General features: G+C 41.1%; 1 protein-coding gene across 7 annotated transcripts in view; it reads left to right on the forward strand.

The window, feature by feature from the left end:
- The window catches only part of RASGRF2 (Ras protein specific guanine nucleotide releasing factor 2), a 269800-nt gene that overhangs the window by 152514 nt on the left and 92056 nt on the right, over positions 1-25230 (forward strand). For all 7 annotated transcript variants that reach the window (NM_006909.3, XM_005248565.2, XM_017009683.2 and 4 more), the window contains 3 exons: positions 662-1044; positions 10766-10891; positions 14198-14287. In NM_006909.3, coding sequence (NP_008840.1) covers positions 662-1044; positions 10766-10891; positions 14198-14287 — 599 coding nt within the window. The remainder of the gene's footprint in view (positions 1-661; positions 1045-10765; positions 10892-14197; positions 14288-25230) is intronic.

Here is a 25230-nt window from a genome sequence, read left to right on the forward strand (position 1 = left end):
GTTAGCCTGTCATTCGCATATGGCCCTCTTCGTTCCGGAGTCACCATGAGGATGAGCAGGCCAGCTCTGCAAAGCAGCTCCTAGGGTGTACTAGCTTGCCTCTGAATGTACCATGCCCCTCCAGCAGAAGGCCATATGTAAAGGTCACACAGAGTTCCCCAGGCACGAAGTTGAAAACCTGAAATTTCCAGTTGGCCTTTGCTTGTTCTGTGATTATTTGTAAACGAACTCCATTGCTTTCGGCTTTTCTTTTTTCTTTCTTTCTTTCTTTTTTTTTTTGACAATTATGATTTTAAAACTTTAATATGCATAAGAATCAGTTGCGTGTGGTGTGGGGAGGGTGTCTTGTTAAATTGCTGGCTCTGATTCAGCAGGCCTGGTGTGGAGCCTGAGTTCTGAACGTCTAACAAGCTCCCCAGAGATCTCAATGCTGCTGTTTGGACCACAGTTTAGTAGCAAGGGATTAGACGATGCCTAATAAGTGTCTGTGCTTCTTTGGCAGGTGGAGGGTATACATGTAGCATTTAGATTAACGGAAGTCCAGCAATAGAAGTGCAATGAGATTGTGACCTATAAATGAAGGGAACATGTTCTTGAATGACATCTGGGAATTCATTTCACTTGGCTACAATCTCTTAGCCACTTTTGCTCTCATTTTTAGGTCATTGGAATTGTTTTTTGCTACCAGCCAGAACAACAGAGGTGAACATTTGGTGGATGGCAAATCCCCACGTCTGTGTCGCAAATTCTCTTCCCCGCCACCACTGGCTGTGTCCAGAACATCTTCCCCAGTGAGGGCCAGAAAGCTGTCTTTGACTTCTCCCTTGAACTCAAAGATAGGAGCATTGGACCTGACAACTTCCAGCAGTCCCACCACCACCACCCAGAGTCCCGCTGCGTCTCCACCACCACACACTGGTCAGATACCACTGGATCTCAGCAGAGGCCTCTCTTCTCCAGAGCAAAGCCCGGGAACGGTAGAAGAGAATGTCGATAACCCACGCGTGGATCTGTGTAACAAGCTAAAACGAAGTATTCAAAAAGGTATTATCTAGCACATTTGCATAATTACACCCCACATTTGCTGGCCGCCTGCCTCCTCACCCTTCCTTTTGGAACACTGGTTCCCTTTCTTTACAACTGTAATACTTCTGCATAGAAAGTAGAATGAGCTCAATGGTTAGTTAGAAGAGAAAATTCCTGTAGATTCTTCTGGCCCTTCTGGAACAGAAAGCAAGATTAGTTGTCCTTATGCCCCTGTAGTAAAAGGCTTATTGTGGTCAGTTGTCTATGGGAGAATAGCATATCTGAATGGTATTGCTAGAGAGTTCTTGGAATTTGGTTAAGACTGGTTGGCTGAAGAGCCTAGCATGGTGCTTTGCACACTGGGAGGTTGTGGGTACCCTCACCCGTGAGCTCAGGCTGCAGAGCTTTCTCCTCCTCCCTTATTTGCCTTAGGTACCTGTGTACCTCCAGCCTTTCCCTGCTGAGGATGAGCTAGGCTGGAAGTACCACAATGGCTTCTTTAGTTTAGTTATGAGGACAGTGCTCCATGTTATAGCAGAGGTATAGGAGAGAAACCAAATTGGAGACAGTGTTAATTGCTTGTGACGTAGCCAAAATAGTTTTTTTAAAATGTTGATTAGGTCATAGGGTTTCTGGCTTCAATTCTCTACTGACTTCCTGTCACACTTAGAATAAAGTACATTCTCCCTGCCAGGGCCTTCAGTTCTGTGAGACATGGATCCTGTCCCCCTCTCCAGCCCCTGCTCCTGCCACGCTCCCTCATCTACTAGGCTACTGTTACATTGATTTCCTTTTTGTGTCAAAAGCATTTTGGTCTTTCCTGCCCCAGGGTCCTTGCACTTGTTCTTTCCTCTGCTTGGCCACTTTTGCCATGTAAGCTCCATGAGATCAGCAGTCTGTCTTACTCACCTCCATACCCTCAGTGTCTTGGCCAGTGCCTGACAAGTAGTAAATTTTTGTTAAATGAATGAATGAAATAAAATATACAGTGAACTGATCGAGGGTCCTCTCTCCCATCATTTTAGCTTTCTCAGCTTGGTACGGTGTAGGGTTGGAAGAGGTGATTCTTGTTGCTTTTAAAGTCCAATGTTTCTGTAATGAAAATAAAAATGATTCACAGTGAAATTACAAACAGCTTTTAAAAAACTGTATAAGAACTGACTTATTGATAATATAATAAAAATTGGGCAATAAATCAGACAAAGTGTCCAATTTCAAGGTGGATTGCCCAGATGGATGCATAGAGGCTTGCCTTTCTACCTGCTTGAAGCTTCTATGTGCTTCTAGCTCAGATCATTTAAATAAGCTTCCTGAGTGAAGTAGTTAATGGAATTTTAACTGGAGTGGTTGTCATAATCAAAAGTTGCACTCTTTTAAAGTCTTTAAATTGACAAGTTAGCAACTAAGGAGGAGGAAAGGGAGAAGATAATTAAAAAGTCATTAGAACAACAAGCTTAAGCAAAATCATGATGGATTCTTATCAGGAATAATGAGGCAGCGCACAAGCTGACAAGTGCATTCAGGGTTGCACCCAGCGCCAGTGCTTGGGAAACCCTGTGGAGGGAATGACTGGAATGGGGCATGGGGGTATGGGAAGTACAGGAGCTTTCAGATCATGGCAAGTTTTTTCACCTTCTTTACTGCACTGCGGTAGATAGGAGAGGAGAAATCTGGAGATAAGTCGGGATTCTCTCTTTCTCTCTTTTTATTTTGTTTTATTTTGTTTTTGTTGAGGAAACCTTTAGGAACAAACATTTCAGTGTCCAACACCAGTGGCTTGGAGGCTGTGGTTTGATTGCTCATGGGGCTGGGATGAGGATACAGTAAAGTCTGTTCAAGAATCATTGAGTGAGCCTCTTCTCTGTGCAGGATACTGTGTGTGCTAGAGTCCACAATGGTAAATAGCACCTTCACTGTCATACTCTAGTTATGTGGATAATACAGACACAACATAACTATATGGGCAAGTGGTATAAGAGGTGTAGATAGAGTGCTCTGGAAGCTGAAGAGCAGGGAGATCACATCTGGTTGAGCAGAATTAAGAAGTGTCTTTGACATGAGCCAAAACATATGTGGGTTGGAAAGAAGAGATGGGAGAATTTCTGGGCAAAGAGAATATATAAGTAAAGGTGTGGTGGTAATCACTAGTGGTGAATGCCATTTCTTTTTTTTTTTTTTTTTTTTTTTTTTTTTTTTTTGAGATGGAGTCTCACTCTGTCTCCCAGGCTGGAGTGCAGTGGCACAATCTTGACTCACTGCAACCTCTGCCTCCCAGGTTCGAGCTATTCTCCTGCCTCAGCCTCCTGAGTAGCTGGGATTACAGGCACGCACCATCATGCCTTGCTAATTTTTGTATTTTTAGTAGAGACGGGCTTTCACCATGTTGGCCAGGCTAGTCTTGAACTTCTGACCTCAGGTGTTCCACCCGCCTCAGCCTCCCAAAGTGCTGGGATTACAGGCATGAGCCACCATACCCAGCCAGTGAATGCCATTTCTGCAAGTATCACAAGCATCACTGCTTCTGAAAGGACAGGCTTTGTCCTGTTTTGACAGCATGGGCAGCCCTGTAGAGCAGACCTTGTTAGTAGTCCTCTTAGGGCTTTCTAGCACGGAGTAAACTTCAAAACAACAACTCTCCTAGAGAATCTTTCTTCTCCTCCTTCTTCTTCTTACCATCTTAAGTATCTTTAAGTGTATAGCTCAATAGTATTGTTGAACGACAGACCTCTATAACTTTTTCATCGTGCAAAACCGAAACTCTATAATCATTGAATAATACCCCATTTTCTTCTCCCCCGGCCCCTGGCAACCAGCTTTCTACTTTCTGTCTCTACAGATTTGACTGCTTTAAGTTTAAGTACCTCATATATGTGGAATCATTCAATATTTGTCCTTTTTTGAATGGCTTAGTTTACTTAGTGTAATGTCCTCAAGGTTCAACCATATGATAGCATGTGATAGAATTTCCTTTTTTAATAGGTAGAATAATAAGAAAATGCAGTATGCAGATACTACATTTTCTTTATGCATTTATCCATCAATAGACATTTTGGTTGCTTCCACCTCTTGGCTGTTTGAATAACGGTGCAATGAATATGGTGTGCAAATATCTATTTGATATCAGCATGATTAAGTGTTCCACTTTAACTTGTTGTGCAGGGAATGTTCCACTTCGATCACCAACTTCCCTAGTTTTAGTCTTCAAGGTGATGATCCAATACCTTATCATGAAAGCTGCTTGAGCTACTGTCTAGGACAAAGTAGAAATCAATAGTTTTTTTCCCTGGAACAATAAGCTGGAAAAAAGTTAGACTTGGGGTATCTTACTTTGTTTTGGGCTGTTATAGCAGGATATTTTAAACTAGATAATTGTACATGAATAGAAATTTATTTCTCACAATTCTGGAGGTTGGGAAGTTCAAGATCAAGGCACTGACATCTTGTGAGGCCCTTCTTGCTCTGTCATAACATGGTGGAAGGCAACACATAGACGTGAAAGAGAGGAGAGGGGGCCAAACTTAGGCTTTTATAAGGAACCCACTACTGCAATAATGGCATTAATCCATTTATGTGTGTAGAGGCCTCATGATATAATCACCTCTTAGAGGTCCCACCTCTCAACACTGTTGCATTGGGAATTAAGTTTTTAACATGGGAACTTTGGGGGAAACATTCAAACCATAACACTCTGTCCCTTTTCCCCCAAATTTATGTCCTTCTCACATGTAAAATATATTCATTCCATCCCAATAGCCCCCAAAGTCTTAACTTGTTTTGGCATCAACTGATAAGTCCGAAGTCCAGAGACTTACCTGAATCAGATACGGGTGAGACCTGAATCAGATATGGGTGAGACTCAAGACATGATTCATCCTGAGGCAAATTCCCTTCCAACTGTAATATGGTGGTAGGACCAGAATAGGATAGATATTCCCATTGTAAAAGGGAAAAGTAGGCAAAAAGAAAGGTATAACATGCCTCAAGTAAGTCTGAAACCCAACGGGGCAGACATTAACTCTTAAGACTCCAGAATAATATTTCACTCCATGTGCTGCCTCCTGAGTACACTGGGGTGGGGTTGGGTGCCCAAAGCCTTAGGCAGGCCCACTCCCATGACTTTTCTGGGCTCAGCCCACATTTCAGCTCTCATAGATTAGAGCCTCTTGTCTGCAGCTCTCTCAGGCTGGTGTTGCATGCTGGCAGTTCTAGGATTTCTGCAATGGCCTCACTCTCATGGCTCCACTAGGCATTGCCCCAGTGAGGACTCTCTTCAGTGTCTCCATCCCTGCAATAGGTCTCTGCCTGGGACCCTAGGCTCTCTGCAGCATCCTTTGAAATCTAGGTGAAGGAAGCTGTGCCTTCACAGCTTGTGCATTCTGTGCACCTGCAGAATTAGCACCACATGGATGCCACCAGTGCTTTCCATGTGCACCCTCTGGTGCGGTGGCCGAAGCTGTACCTGGGTTTGCCTGGGCCACAGCTAGTGTGGCTGAGGAGCACTGCACAGGAATGTGGGGAGCAGCCCTGGGCAGCAAATGCTGTGGTCCCTTAGATTCCTCTCTGTCAACCTGGCCCTCAAGGTCCTATCTTGTCTGAAAGATCTCTGAAATACCTTTGGAGTCTTTCTCCCATTGTCTTAATGAATAACACCTGGCTCTCTTTTAGCCATACTCTCTTTAGTACTAATCTTTTTAGCGAAAGGTCACTTGGCCACAGCCTTGGTTTGCACTCCCAAAAAGGCCTTTTCACTCTTTACGTGGCTGAGCTGCAAATTTTCCAAGTCTTTCTGCTCTGTTTCCCTTTCAGTTATAAATTCTGCCTTTAAACCATTTCTTTCCTCTTGCATATATTTAAAAGTAGCCATGCAGCTTCTTAATATTTTGCTTATAAATTTCTTCCACCAGGTATCCTAGTTCATTACTCTGAAGTTCTACCTTCCATAAAGCCCTTGGGCATAAACACAATTCACTCAAGTTCTTTGCTACTTTGTAACAAAGATGGCTTTTATGCCAGTTTTCAACACCTTGTTTCCCATTTCCATCTGAGACCTCACCAGAATTGCCTTTACTATTCATATTTCTACCAACATTCTATCATGACCACCTAAGTAATCTCTAAGGAGATTCAGACTCTTGAAAGCTCTTCTCTTCTTCTGAGCGCTGACTATTAGTAGCATCATCCTTAACGCTCCATCCATGGCAATACAGGCTTTCTCTAGCCCATTCCTTCAAACTCTTCCAGCATCTGTCCATTACCCAGTTCCAAAGCCACTTCCACATTTTCAGGTATTCGTTATAGCAGTAACCTCACTTCTCAGTACTAATTTTCTGTCTTTGTTTTGTGCTACCTGAGACTAGGTGATTTATAATGAACAGAAATGTATCTCTCACAGTTCTAGAGGCTGGCATCTGGTGAGGGCCTTCTTGCTGCATTATAATATAGTGGAAAGTATCACATGGGTGGGAAAGAGAGTGAAGTAGGCCAAACTCATTCTATTCCCAAGATAAAGGCATTCATTCATTCATGAGTGCAGAGTACTCATGATGTAGTCACCTCTTAGAGGTCTCACCTCTCAACACTGTTGCATTGGAGTTTAAGTTTCCAACATATGAACTTTAGGGGACATATCAAATCATAGCATGGAGAGACCAAGATAAATGAGAAAGAGCTGGATCAAGCTCTTAGGGAAGGACACTGACACAGGCTTCGAAGACCTGTCAGTACAGATATTGGACAGAGTGGGATCATGTGGACACAGCCAGTGGCTGCTGGAGAGCTTTGTCATGTGGCAGCACTGATCATTCATGGCCTGGGGCCAGCAGATGGAGGGAACCTGTGAATAACAGTATGGCCGAAATATTAGGCTCTTTCTCATATTAGAGAATTAAGTTGAAGGCTTCATGCCTCTGCTTCTCACTGGATTTCCCCAAAACAAGTGATTTAGTGTTATATTTTTTTCAGTTAATTTATCCAGATGGTTCATAGGTTAGAAATATCATTTTAGAGTTCCAGTACTCTAAAATAGTTAAATGCTGAGCTCTTTCCACTCTGGGTAATGGAGAAAGTCCAAGATTGTATGTATCTAGGAGGGGCCCATGGCACTTGGTGAAGCCCGTAGAGCCAACCTTTACTCCAGAGCTGTCAGCTCCTCTGCTCCCCAGGCTTCTTAGTCACATTCACCACCTAATGCATCCCCCTTAGCTCTCATTTTACCCTGATCCCTCCCTTAATCCTTCCATTAAGCCACTTCTTTGCATCTTTATTTCTTTTCCCTTTCTATAGCTGTCCTCTAATTTCTTTTTAATGCATTTATTTCCCATCTTATACTTAAAAATATTTAAGGTGGTCATTCAGAGAGATACAGGGTACAACTACATTAAAATGAAATAGGTAGCTGGACATGGTGGCTCATGCCTGTAATGCCAGCACTTTGGGAGGCCGAGGTGGAAGGATCGCTGGAGCCTAGGAATTCGAGACCAGCCTGGGCAACATAGTGAGACCTTGTCTCTACTAAAAATAAAAATAAAAAAAATAGCCAGATGTGGCTGTGTGCACCTGTGGTCCCAGTTACTCAGGAGGCTGAAGCGGGAGGATCACTTGAGCCTAAGAGGTCAAGGACGCAGTGAGCTCTGATCATACCACTGCATTCCAGCCTGGGTCACAGAGTAAGACCCTGTCTCAAAAATACAAAAAACAAAGACAAAAATAAAATAAAATAGGTAAGGAAATCAGACAATGGGAGAAAAGGAATAAGTTGTGTGTGGCCAAGTGTATGGTTACTGAACAAATGAATACTGTGTGGTCTTCTGCAATTCCTAGAGTCCCCTGACTTTGGTTCCAAGCTCCTCTGCTGGCACAGTAAAGACAGGAATATAATCAATTATTGTGATTCATATTGAAGGCTAGGAATAGATTGGTTGTGCGGGCACATGCTTGCTAGTTCTTGAGACTGAGAACAATTTATCCTGTGGATCCCTGCGAAGGAAACACTCTGGGTAGAAAGTTTAGAATTAAGGCTCGGGTTGAGGTAGCTCTTTGGCATTTTTCTGAATAAGTGAAACAAATTACAGACTCAGTTGTAGGGTTTTTTGTTTTTGTTTTTGTTTTTTTGTATTGGTGTATGGGCAATACTGGTCGTGAATAGTTTTAGGAAAGTCATGGATGAACACTACTTCAGCATGAGTCTGAAAGTTGTGTGTGTGTGTGTGTGATGTCTGTAAGAGCCAAAAGTGCTGCTGTGTGAACCCTGCTGTCTAGTCTTAAAAATTTGAGTTGACAAAGAAAAAGGAGACATTGATCCATCTTTAATTTGAAAGATGTTTGCGTGTATCACATAATGTTAACACTTAAAACAGTTGGCAAACTTGAATATGAATCCCGTGCCAAGAACTTACACATTTTCTGCTTTTCACTTAAGAATACAACCCCACACCACCTCATTGTATAATATCAGTTTTGCCAATTAGGTCCCTATTGATGCCATACGTCTCCCTCACTGCCATCCAGCTATTCATTTCAGGGCATGTTTTTTGAAAAGTGCTAGTGACCTTTGTCCATTTTTATTGTCATTGCAATGATAATGCCAGCCTTGCAAAATTTTCTGGCAGGAGAACGTCAAACAATGTGAGGAGAAAGAAGCGAAATAGGAAATATCCTTTAAAATGAGTGAGGCAATGAACTTAGGGAAAAAATAATTCAATTTAATTTCCCTCCAACTCATTCCTCACGTCTGTTCCAGACTCATCCAACATTCACTAATACCCTCTCTTCTCATTACCAGTCAGTTTCTATCTTCTTCAACCCCAGGTGCTTCTACAAAACACAAATATCAGCCAGACTCAGATATCCAGATTCCACCCAGTGATGGGTTCTCAACAAAAACCAAACCAACAGCAGGCAAGAAAGGCAAGCCAAAGGGTCGCTCACTGTATTCAGACCCCATTACTCCCTCAGTGTTCACTTAGACCATGGCCGTGCAACTTAGCCACCTGTGTTGCTGCACAGCCCACAGCACTAGTGTCTGTTTCTGTGTTCTTAGTTTGAAAATTGCCTGCCTGTGGGCTGAAAGTGCTCCCGATTTTAGCATTTGTTTTGAGCCACATCTGCCCACTCGTCCTGCAGGCAAAGCTGTTTGCAAGGAGCCTGATCAAAAGTGAATATGCCAGAAGGAATTCTCCCCTCAGCCCCCAGTGCTGGCATGGTTTCTTCTCTCTGTAGGTGCCTGTTAGCTTACAGGATTCTTCTTTGCTTTCCTGTTCTTTCAGAACAGTCAGGGTCCATCCAGCTTTTCTCATTGGGAAATTTCCTGGGTTCAATGTAATTGCTGTCTAATGATTTTCTCATTTTCCTGAGATGACTGAATGGTTGAATCAGACCAAGGACATGTATTTGATATTCTGCTCGTTCTTACAGAGCAGATGCCTTCCATTACTGAATTTTGGGGCAGTTATTTAGAAAATAATAAAACCGACAGCTAAGCACTGATTTTTTTTGTCTGCATCTTGCATCGTTGCCAGCTTTACTGTAATTATGTCATTCAGAGAAAGATTCTAACCATTTCCTTTTCCTGGCCCCTTTGTGTTTCAAAAAAGCAAAATTGTGGCCATATTTCTAAGCGGATAAGTCACATGCAAGTATAAAAATGGCCTTAGATGAAGTCATTAGAGATTTTTGAAAGTTTGTTGAGTGAAATCTTGAATGGAATGGCAAAGCAAAGTAGTTCTGCTGACAGGATTAATGTACAATTAGTGGAGGTGACACTAAGCTGTTATCAATGGGAATTAATGAAAAGCCCAAGAAGAATGGAAGAATCGTTGGAAATGTATTACATTTTTGTGGTATTTTTCTCTGAAAGAACATACACAAAGTTGTAGTCTTACCTGCTTAATAAATCAGTGGGAGGGGCATAGAAACATCATTAGTAATGGCCTAAGGGTGACCCTAAAATGATGTGTGTGTTATTCTTGGGATGTTAGCTGCAGCAAAGAAGCTCAAATGACCTTAAACCCTCCCAATGGTTCATTTAAAAGATTTTCACGTGTTTCCTGCTGATCTGTAGCTCTAGCTCAGAGATACCCAGTAGAATTTTCTGGGAGGATAGAAATACTGTATATCTGGGCTGTTCAATACCATAGCCACTAGCCACATGTGGCTGCTGAGCACTCAATGTAGTGCAAGTGGGAAGCCAAAATAATAATTTAACTTTAGTTAATGTAAATTTACATAGCCACGTTTGGGTAGTGCTGTCATTTTGGACAACATAGCTTTAGATCTCTGGGAGACCCAGAGATCCCTGGTGAGGGCCACATTATAGAGATTCAAACTTTGGTTGGTTTAGGGGGCAACACAGGCAAAGAACTGGTGAAGTTCCGATTTGTAATCCCAATCTGATTTTTGACCTGACAAAGTTATCTTTCCCCACTCAGAGAAAGCAAAAACATTTGGAAGGGCAGGGGATCCACCACATACCCCCGTTTACTTTAACATCTGCTGCTGCATTTGACAGAAGGGGCTGGCCAGGGTCAGCTAGGGTCAGCCAGGCCCAACAGGGTCATCAAGACAGGGTTAGAGAAGATCCTTTTTTAGATTTAGTGTCATTAGTACTTGACTTGATTTCATATTAAAGCCCTTTAATGAAATGCTTATTATCTGTAATGAACTTTTGTTTCCATGCATGATACTGACAAGAAGCTCTTGAATTCATGGCCTGGTTGTTAAAATTCATGATGTTTTCAAGCAGCAGTCCTAGAGTCTGCACCAGCGGACCGAGCAGGAGTGGAAAGCTCCCCTGCAGCGGACACCACAGAACTTTCACCTTGCAGATCCCCCTCAACTCCTCGGCACCTCCGCTATCGACAGCCTGGAGGTAAGAGCTCAAGAGGGACTCAGAAATAGAAACGTGAAAAATGATTTCTAGCTTCTGAACCTTTCCTTTGCCTAATTGTTTCACTGCCAAAATAATTTTTTTAGTCTCACTTATTGAAAATTAATTGGAAGCAAATACAGTCGGCCCTTTGTATCTGTGGGTTCCACATCCATGGGTTTCATATCTGTGGATTCAACCAATCACCCATCAAAAATATTTGGCAGAAGAATAAAGCTTCTGTACTGACCATGTACATACTTTTTTTCTTGTCATTATTCCCTAAACATTATAGTATGACAGCTATTTACATAGCATTTCCATTGTGTTAGTTATTATAAATAATCTACAGGTGGTTTAAAATATACAGGAAAATATGCATAGATTATATTCAAATACTACACGATTTTATATCAGGGACTTAAGCATCTGTGGATTTTGGTACCTGAGGGAGATCCTAAAACCAATACCCTACAGGAAACAAGGGATGACTGTAATGTTACTGTAGGACCAAGTGGTGGAAAAATAAATGATTAGAGAAGATGTCATTAGTCTAACCAACATTTGTTTAGTTCCATCATTGCATTGCATTTTGTGAGGAGTAACGTGAATCAAAAGGCTCTTTCTTTAGATGTTAGCTAGCTGAAGAATCTCAGTGCTGGGTTTACCAAAATGTTCCCAGTCTCTGATATATTACCATGAGTCCCAATGTAGTCTGTATAAGTGGACTCCTCTGGGCATCACAATCTGGGGAGACCCTATTAATAATATTATTTCATCTAAAATAAGGTCCAGGTACATGGGACCCCAGTCATCATTATTGCTAGTGGCAGAAACTGGCATATGTATTTTGATATATAGTTAAGAAAATTGTAAAGCATTACTCCATAATTTGTTTGGGAACATAATAAATGTCCTCTAATTGGAGAAAAAAAACTAATCAGAACAAAAGGTAGAAATATTTTAATTATCTCCCATTTTCCCCACTGCTCAAATAAATATATCCAAATAACAGTTGTTTTGAAATGTTTGCTTTTCTCTTCTTAAGCCAATTATTTCAAGTCAGAACAGAAAATTACACAATTATGAAACCGGATTCACCCCAAGTAACCCAAATGAAAAGGCTTTTTTTTTTGGTTTGGAGACAGAGTCTCACTCTGTTACCCAGGCTGGAGTACAGTGGTGCAATCTCGGCTCAGTGCAACCTCCACCTCCCAGGTTCAAGTGATTCTCCTGCCTCAGCCTCCCGAGTAGCCAGGATTACAGCCGTGGGCCACCACGCCCAGCAGTTTTTATATTTTTAGTAGAGACGGGTTTTCACTTTGTCGGCAAGGCTGGTCTCAAACTCCTGACCTCAGGTGATTCACCCTCCTCAGCCTCTCAAAGTGTTGAGATTACAGGAATAAGCCACTGCGCCCAGCCTATAAAGGCATTTTTGACTCTCATAGGCATGCTTCAAATAGGGCATTTTAGCAAAAGGTAAAGTATATGGCTCCAAATGGTTATCGGTGGCCTTAGCAGCTTGGTAGAAGCTGTTGTCATTGCCATGAGCTCTGAGAGCAACTAGGAAGGTCTCAGTCTGGCTGTTGTTAGATGTCTGCCTTTGTGGATATTAGCCCTTGGGGCTTTAAGGCTCCAAGTCAGTTATGGGTTATCCTGCCATTTGGGTGTTTCTGGTAAATGAAGGTGACAAATTAGACTTTCCTGGCTTGTCATAGTACTACTATGGAATTAGCCAGATCTCTCTATTCTTCTTAGAGCTTTGGTCAGTCCAGGTCTTGGCAACTTCCTTGACCATTGCCACATAGGACAGATCCCTTTGACTTCATTGTAACCTGGAAGAGTTTGGGACCAAAATCTATGGAAGTAAGGCTCTACCAAGGCAAGAGTTAAATGCTGTTCAAGGCGTTACAATTATTAGAACTCTACTTTATATTCTCTTTTCATATGTTTATATTCACATATAAAATTTTTAATTCACATAAGGATTATTTGGAAATCCTCATCTTGTTTGTGGATTAACTAAGCCAAATCCTTTGTTTCTTCCCTGATATAACTAAATCATAGAGACATAGAAACATGGGAAGGAGGCTGAAACCTGTGATAATATGGAGGAACTGAACAAGGACAGCATCACATATTTCTATCTAGCTGAAATTTTGCCTGTGCATCTGTCTACTTGCCACCTTGTTCCAAAATGCAATAAGTCTGTTGTGGAAAGAGAAGGTAGAGCTGTTTTATGCGTTTGTGCTTGGGCACATTAAGCAGCTCTTTGCTTCCCCTCTTAACGTGTGTATTTATTTTAGGCATGATTGTGAAACATTAGGGCCAAGCTAATAAAAGCCCTTCAGGTCAGAATCACAGTGGACTGTTTTCACTAAAAGCCTGAGCGAGGAGAAGCAGCGAGCTTGGCACCAGCACTGCCAAACGCTGTGTGTACAGTCCGAGGAGTGAAAGGGACTGCAAGGTTGCTCAATACATCCTTTCGATTTTAAAAGGGCCACACTTAAACCATCTGTACTGTTAAGGGTGTTCTGAGAAGGAAATTCTGTCAGAGGGAAATTCTATCAGTAACATGATATGGTATCTTTTTTAAGAATATTTTTATATTAAGATACAGTTTACATACCATAAAATTCACCTTTTTAAAGTATATAGTTCAGTCTTTTTTTAATTTAATATATTCACAAGTTCAGGCAGCCATAACCACTATTTAATTCTAGAACATTTTCATCACCCAGAAAGAAACCCTATAAATATCAGCCATTCTATACTCATTAGCGGTCACTCTCCATTCCCCCTCCAACCCCAGCAGCCCTAGGCAACCACTAATCTACTTTCTCCCTCTATGGGTTCACCTCTGCTGGACATTTAACACAAAGGGAATCATATAATATGTGACCTTTTGTGATTGGCTCCTTCTTTAACTTGGCATGTTTTCCAAGTTTATCCATGTTCTAGCATGCTTTGGAACTTCATTCCTTTTTGTGGCTAAATAATATTCCCTTGTATTTTTCTGTTTATCAATTGGTGGACATTTGATTGTTTCTACTTTTTGGCTACTATGAGCAATGGTGCTATGAATATTCATGTACACGTTTGTGTGTAGATGTATGCTTTCTTTTCTCTTGGTTATAGACCCAGAGTGGAATTCCTGATGTGCAATCTTGTTGTTTGCCCATTAACAGAGATAATACAGGGCATTTGGCCCAGTCCTTCATCTGGTGCAGGAAGAAAAATGATGATTTTTGTTACAGAATATTATCCATTTGCCTCACCATTCCATTTCCTTTCTTTTCAAATAACCAGGACAGACGGCGGACAATGCCCACTGCTCTGTTTCACCGGCTTCTGCTTTTGCAATAGCCACAGCTGCAGCAGGACATGGGAGTCCACCAGGTGAGTAGGGGAGCAGCTATGTACAGATATGTGACCATTTATATTAAGTCAGTGGCCCGTGTCTGCCAGTGTCTTGATGAGACACTCGGCAGCTCTCACACTGGAATCCCAGCATTTTGGGAAGCCGAAGCAGAAGGATTGCTTGAGACCAGTAGTTTGAGACTAGCCAGGGCAACATAGAGACCCCATCTCTATAAAAAATTTTTAAAATTAGCTGGGCATGGTGTTGCATGCCTGTAGTCCCAGTTACTCAAGACGCTGAGGCAGAAAAATCACTTGAGGCCAGGAGGCTGAGGCTACAGTGAGCTGTGATCATGCCACTGCACTCCAGCCAGGGTGTTAAAGTGAGACCCTATCTCGACAAAACAAAACAAAATAAAATAATAATAAGAGAATGCACATTCCTAGCTCTTTCTGAGTCAGTGCTTCTGGGAAGAGACTGTCTTTTAAATGAGCATCTTCAGAAATCTCCTTATTTGGCCAGGCACAGTGGCTCACACCTGTAATCCTAGCACTTTGGGAGGCCGAGGCAAGCGGATCACCTGAGGTCAGGCATTCAAGACTAGCCTGGACAACATGGTGAAACCCTGTCTCTACTAAGAATATAAAAATTAGCTGGGCATGGTGTCATACATCTGTAATTCCAGCTACTCAGGAGGCTGAGGCAGGAGAATCATTTGAACCTGGGAGGCGGAGGTTGCACTAAGCCAAGATTGTGCCACTGCACTCCAGCCTGTGTGACAGAGCAAGACTCCGTCTCAAAAAAAAAAAAAAAAAAAAAAAAGAAAAGAAAAGAAAAAAAGAAATCCCACCATTTGCAACAGTATGGATGAACCTGAAGGACATTATGTTACCTGAAATAAGCCAGGCACAGAACGGCAGATACTGCATGATCTCACTTATATATGGAATCTAAAAAGTCAAATGCATAGAAGTAGAAAGTAGACTGGTGGTTACCAGGGGCTGGTGGGGAGGAAGGGAAGCGGGGAGCTGTTTGGTAAAAGGATAAAAGGTTCAGTTGCACAGGAAGAATAAGTTCTGGAGATCAATTGTACACCATGGTGACTAGTTAAAAATGTACCGCATACTTGAAAATGGTTAAGAGAGTAGATTTTAGATGCTCTCCCCACAAAAAAATGGTAAGTGAGGTAACAGATGTTAGTTAGCTTGACTTAATCATTCTTCAGTATATACGTACATCAAAACATCACATTGTACCCTGTAGGCATATACAATAAAAAATAATCAAATAAATAAATAAGCAAAAGCTCCTTCAGGTGAGTCTCACTCAGGCGATCTGTGGGTTACAGCTCTGAGAAACTCTTTATCAGAGAAGGTTGTTATTCCTCCTGTGTTGTTTGACAGAGTTCTTCACCCTTTATAACTCAATTACTGAGAACACGTTTCCATTTTAATTGAGTACAATGCTAAAAGCATATGCAAGGTGGGAGGGAGGGCTTGTGGAGTGCGGGGAGCCGAGCGGTGCAGCTATTGCTTTAGCTGACTCATAATTCATTTCCAGTAGCTCCACGATTCTTTCTGAGTTGCTGTCAGTTAATTTTCAGGGTAAAGAAAAAGTACTTAAAATAAAAGCACAGTATTTTAATAGATAAAAATTATATTCATTATCTCTTTCCTCTTCTCTCACGTGCAAGGAGGATATTATGTTAAAATAAATCTGTAAGTGGTTTAGGGCTGGGCGTGGTGGCTTACACCTGTAATCCTAGCACTTTGGGAGGCCAAGGTGGGCAGATCACCCAAGGTCAGGGGTTCAAGACCAGCCTGGCCAACATGATGAATCCCCATCTCTACTAAAAATACAAAAATCAGCTGGGCGTGGTGGCGCACACCTGTAATCCCAACTACTTGGGAGGCTGAGGCAGGAGAATCACTTGAACCTGGGAGGTAGAGTCTGCAGTGAGCCGAGATCATCCAGCCTGGATGACAGGGTGAGACTCTGTCTCAAAAGTAAATAAGTAAATAAATAAATAATAAATCTGTAAGTGGTTTAAATAGCCTTGTTGCTGTGTCTTCACCTAAACTAAACCTATGGGCTCCAATCGTCATGATTTGTAGAAACATGAGAGATGGCATATTTTGCTAATTAGCCATTTTTCACCTTTGTGGTAACAAAGGAATCCTTTCCAAAGCTTCTGAACCAATATTCACAATAGTAACTAGTAGGTATTATCTGTGTGATTTTTTTTTTCCAAATTGAGGACCAAAAAGAGATGTTCTCTAATGGACATTAACTACCATAGTACTTTATATATTATTTATCATTATATATATTTCTCTAAATAAACATTTTGCAAATTGACCACATTCTGTTTCTTTAGCATTTTGCCATATGTGCTTCACTGGAGATGTGGTCAGGCAAATTGGGATGTGCTTTGCCCCAAATATTCTTAAAACCTTTCCCCAAAAGTCCCATCAGAATAACAAAAAGCAGTCTATAATGGTCAAAATATCAATCTTGTCGATACAGTTGGCTTCTATGATTGATTACCTTCTGTAACAGTCAACATTTTGGGGGGAAATAAGGGAGGCTTTTCTAGGCTTTCAGCAGAGTTATTGTCGATTGTGATTTGCTAAGACCTTCTCCTGTCTTCCGTTCTCACTCGCTAGTCTGCCTTTGGAAAAAGTGAAGGACAAGAACATCTCACAGATTTCCTAATTTAAATATGGTTTGTGAGGGAAAATAAATTTGGGGTTTATTTGAGATGAGCCCATTCCCCATTTGCTGGAGGGTAGGGAGAGGTCCTTTTTTCACCTGAGATTGCAATGAAGATTGAATCGTTTGAATGTGCTTTAGAGAATGGCTTTCTGACTAGCTTTCCCAGGCATATTGGGCCAGAAGGAAAAAGTAACCAAAACGGCCAGCTCTTTCTCCCTTTTTGAAAGCCTGCTGCTTTTCTGTTGCCTTTTTTCCTACTTCTCCCCTGCAGCTGAAATAGTCTTAGGAAGAAAACCCTTCTTCAGCGAGCTGGCTCCTGGTGGTGCTTTCTGAGGAGGGCAGAACGGACTTGCTAACAGACTCAGTCAATGTTGCTAGGTGTTGGGGAGCCTGAACCCTGTGTGAGCAGACTGCTCTTTTATGACAGTGCTGTTGATGTTGCCTATCATGCAGTCTGAAGCCACATGATTTGATTTCAGAAGTAGAGGCAATAAGGGATTTGATTCAACAGTGCCCATGGCTCTGCTGTGAAGGCAGCAAGTTGCACAGGGGTCAGTTTCAATGGCTAGTGGCGGTAAGAAAGGGGGTCTCTTTTGGAGTGGAGACCAGTGCATTCCTGGGGCTCAGCCACTCAGAGGAACTGGTCCCTTAGCAGATTTCACCTGCCTGGGAGAACTAGGCAGAGAGCAGAAGGTGTACTCAGAGCAGAAACAGGGAAGGGCTAAGAAGATAATCTGGATTTATTGGCTAGCCAGGGAGAGCATGGTGTTGCCCGAGGAGGGCTAGACCTAGATACCTGGACAGGTGTTCAAAGGAAGAGAGTGCTGGATAAGAGTCAACTCCCAAACAGACTTTGTATCTCCTCTGGGAATCAGGAATTGCCAGCCCGGATGCATCCAGGTGAGTTGCAAAGGCAAGCAGAAGAAAGATTGCATAGACAAATAAACACCCCATGCTTTCATCAGTGTCTGCAGGCTTCCTGTCTGCTTATTCAGCTGTGATACAGATAGACTTGGGGATGCAGCTCTGCTGTGTCCTTGCTCCTAACAGGAAACAAGGTATAGCCCAGCCAAGCCAGAGGTCTGCGGAGTGGGTTTCCATGTTTCAGGTGCCTCTGCAGATTCCCTCTTGCTTTAATACTCTCCCAGCCCTTCCCTTGACCCCATCTCCATCAAAATATATAGGAATCTGGCACCTCTGGGTTATAACTGTCAATTAATTATTATGCTCTCAAACATTAACTCTAGGCATTTGTATATTAAACCATGTCTCTTTAAGTATTGCTTAGAAAACTTCCTTAATGCATTAAAAGGAATTTCAAATGCAATACAAGGGAGGACAGCAATTTTTTTTGCAAGGAGGTCAAGACAAGATGTTCCTGCCTGACCCCGGGGGCAAGGAAAACTGATTTTATTTGTGGGTGGTGCCCTGTGATCTGTTTGGGATTGCCTGCCCTGCTGCTGGGGTCTCAGCCTGCCTAATTTCCACATAGACTGGAAAAGCCTGGTTTTCAATCTTTTTGGGGGGTCGGGGGAACAAAGTCTCGCTTTATCACCCAGGCTGGAGTGCAGGGGCGTGATCTTGGCTCACTGAAACCTCTGCCTCCCAGGTTCAAGCGATTCTCCTGTCTCAGCCTCCCAAGTAGCTGGGACTACAGGTGTGTGCCACCATGCCCAGCTAATTTTTGTATTTTTAGTAGAGATGGGGTTTCACCATGTTGGCCAGGTTAGTTTTGAACTCCTGGTTTTGGGTGATCTGTCTGCCTTGGCCTTCCAAAATGCTAGGATTACAGGTGTGAGCCACTGCGCCTGGCCTCAATCTCTTTTTCTTCCTTTAAAAGAAAAGAAAAAAAAAAAAAAGATCTAGAGCCTTCCCTTCCCAAAATTGGATGAGTCTTTTCCTTCCATGTCATGCTCCCTTTGTTTACCTGAGTCACTGCTATCCAGAGAATCCATATCCTGCCCCTCAAAACTCGAGATTCGGATTTTATGCTTTCTGTGAATGTGGTAACCTTTCAGGGAATTTTTAATGGATTTTTATGTAGACCCATAGGTGATACCCAGGATTGTAGTGTTGTGCTTTCACTATTACTTCTCTGTCTGTTTATAGTGTTTCTCTGACAAAGAAACACATCGCAGGAATGCAGCTTTTAGCAGAAGCATTATTGTCTCACGTTCCCTGTTAATTTCAACTCCCTACCAACACTTTCTATCCTTGCTTTGTTTTTTTCCTCAACACTTATCACTATTTGACACACTATTTTTTTTACTAATTTATCTTGCTTTATTATCCATTTCTCCAATAAATGTAAGATCGACGAGGGCAGAGATTTTTATCTATTTTATATACTGCAGTATCCCCAATATCTAGAATAGTATTGTATATGTAGTAAATGATCCATAAATGCTTACCGAATTAATGAATCAATGATTGAATCTTCATACTTGCAATAGGGAATATTCAGTGCAGAAAAGAAAAAACTGTACTGTCCATATATTTTTATAGTGCTGTGGTGTTTTTAAATTGTTTGTTGTTGTTGTTATTTCAAGGTAAAAGAGTTTTGTCTTATTTCTCCGACTGATCTGGGGAGGTGATACCAGTCTCTTCAAGTCAGCAAGCAGGTTTTGAGTGTCTTTTGTGTTTAGTATCACTTTTTTGGATACCCACAACCCTGAGCTGAGCACCTGGTAGACTTGTAAATAAGCCTCATTGTCTTGTTATTCATTTGATGTAAGACTTTTCCTCACACTCATGATTGGAAAGTCCTTGAGATATGCCTAGACCTGAGGCCTAGGGTCACTGTAAATGTTTGCTGCCAATCAGAATGCAAGCACTAACTAAACTGTTAAAGCTTCATACTGTGTGATATTAACAAGAATGGGTTTTGTGTTGCACCCATACCCACAGAACCAGGCTTTTGGTACCATCATTGATCTACAAATTAGGCCCAGTTACAGATGGATCCTGAATTTGTAGGCCTGATGTTTATACAATTTGGGGAAACACACCTCAAGGAAAATAATATAAAATTATAAATATAAACTTTTAGGGCACCTCCCGGGGCTTTGGAAGAGGCCCATACAAATTGAGAAGGCCTAAAGCTTAAGCTTTCTTGACTTCCTGATAAATCTGCTTTTGAGTCCAATCCAGAAAATTCTTGGAATCGCAACAGCTACAGGAAATTTTGTATGCTGGGGAGTGAGGGTGGGGGCATCAGTGATTGTCAATGAGTCATTAGCCATCTTTCTTCTAAGTTAGCCCAGAGTCAGGTGGTATAATGAAAAAAAGCAGAAGATGGCATCAATTAAATATGAACAGTTGACCAGGTGTTAATATGCACACTCTTCTGGTGACTAGTTGGATAAGTTGGTAGTGGTGAGTAGAGCAGCATGATGTATGTATTGCCACCCCGATTTCCTTTTCCAATGTCAAACAGTCCTCCTTTTCATAGGGCTTTAACTCTATACAGGATAGGACTGAAACAAAGGATGGTTGATGGTGTTCTTGTGTGCCACCACACTGATTGAAATGTATTTGCAGGCACCTGCTCAAATTGAAGAGCTCTGCATAAAGTAGAAATATAAATGTGTGCATTTCAAATGGCTGCTGATACAGGGAATCTGCAGGTGCAGTTTGGATATAGTTATGATATGAATAGAAATGCAAATTCAATGAATAAATATATCAGAGCACATCATTGCACTTACTATACACCTGAAGTTGTAGGATTAATTATAGAGTTTGTGAAATGATATAAAATGCAGTATGAAAGTGTGAGGTGGGTTATTTTTATGAGAGTAGAAATCATGGCAGTGGAGGTACTATAAGCAACTCCTGGTTATCTGTGAGCAGATTATATGTTTTACTGTTCTATGCAACTCAAAGTAAATTAACAAAGTAGAGGAATAGTTGAATGCACTTATAGGAAAATTAATGACACTGTTACAATTGCTTAGATAAATAGTGAATCTTTTACTGGTAGTTACCTGGTACTTGTAAAGTAGATAATTCATAATCTGTTTTATCTTCTGTAAAACCAGTCATGGCATGTGTGGTAAATAGTAGATCTGAGGTTAATGTGAGTTGGGCTTGGATCGGTTTTTTAAAATACTGATGATATCTGGTCCTATACCTAAAGATTCTGAGTTGATTGATCTGGGGGTACATCGTGGGATTCAGGAATTTTTTAAGTTCCCCAGGTGATACTAATGTGAAGCCAAGTAGGAAATGCTTGTGTGCGTGTGTGTGTGTGTGTGTGTGTGTGTGTGTGAGTGAATATTTTACTGAGGTAATGTCAGTTAAGGGTAAAAATTTGGATTTTCCAAATTTCATGTTAGATTTGGATGTAGATGGATTTCATGATTATTTGATTAATTCAGTAGAAGAATGTGGTTAAAACAGTTGTGTAATCTTAACCCACACCCTCAGGCAATTTAGGAAGTATGTCTGGATTTCATTCTACAGTCTAGTATTAATTTACATATTCAGTGTTTTAGGTGTAGATATGGTAGGTGGGCTGGATGTGAGGAGTGCTAGACTGAGTCCTGTGTGCATCACCTTGGACGGTTTCTCTCTGGGCCTGTTGTTTCATGGTGGAAGCCTGAGAGCTCAGCTGGTGCACTGGCTCTCCAGGTGTGATCTCTGGGCCTGTAGCATCAGCATAACCTGGGAACTTACTGGAAAAATAAATTCTCGGGCCACACATCATTCCTACTGAATCAGCATTTCTGAGGATGGGGCACAGCATCTGTCTTTTACAGGCTCTTTAGTTGATTCTGATACATACTAAAGTTTGAGAAGCAGTGAACTAGTATAATGTCTGAGCTGCCTTCCCTGTTTAAAAATCTGACTCCATATTACTTGTAGTAGACTATACAGTAGATGAAAAACCTAAATTTGAATCTCTTCCTAAGCACTAAGTACAACTCAACCTTTATCTTTTGGTAGTTTTTGCACAGTATGCATAATTGATGTTGTTCCAAGTTGTACATTTAAATTCTCACTTTTCTTCATCATTTAAAATATGGAAGGTTGCCTAGAGTTCTGCATCATGTTAGAAAATCTTTTTATCTCAAAGTAATAAAAACTGTTGTAGTAATTATTCTCTAGTTACATTTTTATAATGGCTTTATTGAGCTATAATTCACGTACCATACAATTAACCTGTTTAAAGCCTACAGTTCAAGCTGGGTGTGATGGCTTATCCCTCTAATCCCAACATTTTGGGAGGCCAAGGTGGGAGGATTGCTTGAGCCCAGGAGTTCAAGACCAACCTGGGCAACATAGTAAAACCCCATTTCTACCAAAAAAAAAAAAAATAGCTGCATATGGTGGCACACGCCTGTAGTCCCAGCTACTTGGGAGGCCAAGGTGGGAGGATCTTTTGGGCCTGGGAGGTGGAGGCTGCAGTGAGTAATGATCGTGCTCCATCCCAGCCTGGGCGACAGAGCAAAAACCCTGTCTAAAAAAATAAATAAATAAAAAAGTCTACAGTTCCATGGATTTTAATATATTCCCAGAGTTGGGCAACAGTCACAATACATTTTAGAACATTTCCCCAAGCCCTTTAGCTGTTAGCAGTCACTCCCTATTTGTCTCTTCCTCTAGCCCTTTGCAACTGCTAATCTCTTTTCTGTCTCTATAAACTTATTTGTTCTCGATATTTAATATAAATGGAATTACTCATACAATATGTGCCCTTTTGTGACTGGCTTCTTTTACTAGCGTAATGTTTTTGAGGTTCAACCATTTTTGTAGAATGCATCAGTCACTTGATCCTTTTTACTGTGGAATAGTATTCTATTGTATGGATATACCACATTTTATTTATCCATTCATGAGCTAATGGACATTGAGGTTATTTCTGCTTTTTGGCTGCTGTGAATGATGCTGCTATCAATGTTCATATACAAATTTTTGTGTGTTTGTTTGTTTGCATTTATGTGAGTACATACCCAGGAGTAGATTTGCTAGGTTGTGTGATAAGATTATGTTTAACTGCTTAATAAACTGTCAAACTGTTTTTGAAAGTGGCTGTACCATTTTGCATTTCCATCAGCAGTGTAATTGAGTTCCATTTGCTCCATACAACAGAGTAGTCCCAATTCTTCCCTTGTAATATTACTGTGAGTTATTTTACTTATCCATATCCTATAATCATCCAATACATTGTTATTATTATTAATATTTTGAGATGGAGTCTCACTCTGTCGCCCAGGCTGGAGTGCAGTGGCGCAATCTCGGCTCACTGCAACCTCCACCTCCTGGGTTCAGGCAATTCTGCCTGCCTCAGCCTCCCGACTATTATTACTTTAAGCAAAGTTATCTTTTAGATCATTTAAAAATAAGAAAAACAAAAGATTTTCCTTTATCTTCATTTTTTCCTTCTTCAGTGCTCTTCTTTTGTTTATATAGATCCAAGTTTCTGACCTATATCATTTTTCTCTGCGTAAAGAACTTCTTTTAACATTTCTGGCAGGGCAGGTCTGCCAGCAATGAATTCCTCCAGTTTTTATTTGCCTGAGAAAGTCTTTATTTCTCCTTCACTTTTGAAGCATAACTTCACTGAACATAGAACTCTAGCTTGGTGGTTTTTTTCTTTTAACACTTTAAATATTTCACTCCACTCTCTTCTTGCTTGCCTGGTTTCTGATGTGGTGTTGTCATTCTTGTCCTTGTTCCTCTGTTGGTGTTTATTTCAAGAACTTCTCTTTATCTTTAGTTTGCTGCAGTTTGAATATGATATGCCTAGATGTGATTGTCTTGGTATTTATTCTGCTTGGTGTTCTCTGAGCTTCCTGGATCTGGGTTTCGTGTCTGTTATTAATTTTGGAAAGCTCTTGCCATTATTAATGCAAATATTTCTTTGACTCAGTTCTTCAGTACTCCAATTACTTGTTTGTTATACCCTTTGAAATTGTCCCACAGTTCTTGTATGTGCTCTTCTGTTTGGGTTTTTTCCCCCTTTCCTTTTTCTCTTTGTGCTTGAGTTTGGAAATTTTGATTGGCCTCTCTTCAAGGTCACTATTCTTCCCTCAGCTATGTTGAGTCTACCGATGAATCAGATAAAGACATTCTTCATTTCCGTGTCTGTGTTTTTTTATGTCTAGCATTTTCCTTTGATTCTTAGTTTCTATTTACCTGTTTACATTACCCATCTGAACTTGCATATTGTCTACTTTTTCCATTAGAACCCTTAACATATTATAGATATTTACCTACTTACAATGGCTCAACTTACAACTTTTTGACCTTATGATGGTGTGAAAGTGAAGCACTTTCAGTAGAAACTGTGCTTTAAGTATGCATACAACCATTCTGTTTTTCACCTTCAGTATGGTATTCAATAAATTATATGAGATATTGCACACTTTATTGTAAAATGGGCTTTGTGTTAGATGATTTTGCCCAACTGTAGGCTACTGTCCTGAGCACATTTAAGGTGGGCTAGGCTAAGCTGTCATGTTTGGTAGGTTAGATATATTAAATGCATTGTTGACTTACACTTTTTTTCATTTAAGATGGGTTTATTGGGATGTAACTCAGTCATAAGTTGAACAGCATCTGAAATCATAGTTATTTTAAATTCACTGTCTAATAATTCCCAGGTCTTTGTCATATCTGAGTCTGATTCTGATGCTTGCTTTATATCTGTTATGGGCTGCACTGTGTCCCCACTAAATGCATATGTGGAGGTCCCACCATTACCCTAGAATATGACTGTAGTTGAAGATAGGGTCTTTAAAGAGGTCATTAAGGTTAAATCAGGTCATATGGATGAACCCTATAAGGAGGCTATTAGGACATACACATAGACTAAGGCGTGACCACGTGAAGACACAGGAAGAAGACGGCCACCTACAAGCCAAAGAGAGAGTCTCAGAAGAAACAACGCGCTGACTCTGAGATCTGGACTTCTAGTCGCCACAGCTATGAGAAAATACATTTATTTAGCACCAATTCTGTGGTATTTTATTATGGCAGCCTGAACAAATTACTAAAGTCTCTTTAGACTGTGTTTCTTCTTGCCTTTTGGCATGCCTTGTAGTTTTTTGTTGAGACCCAGACAGGTTATATCAGATAATAGAGACTGAGAATGATAGGCCTTGAAGTGTGAAGATTTATGTTATCTGGCTAGAATTTGGGCCGTGCTTGATGTTTGCTGTAGCTATAGGAACCAAGGGCTTCAAATTCCTTCAATGCCCTTTTTGTTTCCCTTCACAACTTGGGGCTCCCTAAGTACTCCTTCTCAGAGAGAATCTGTTTT

The sequence above is a fragment of the Homo sapiens genome, chromosome 5 (genome assembly GCF_000001405.40).
Source record: "Homo sapiens chromosome 5, GRCh38.p14 Primary Assembly".
NCBI lineage: Eukaryota > Metazoa > Chordata > Mammalia > Primates > Hominidae > Homo > Homo sapiens.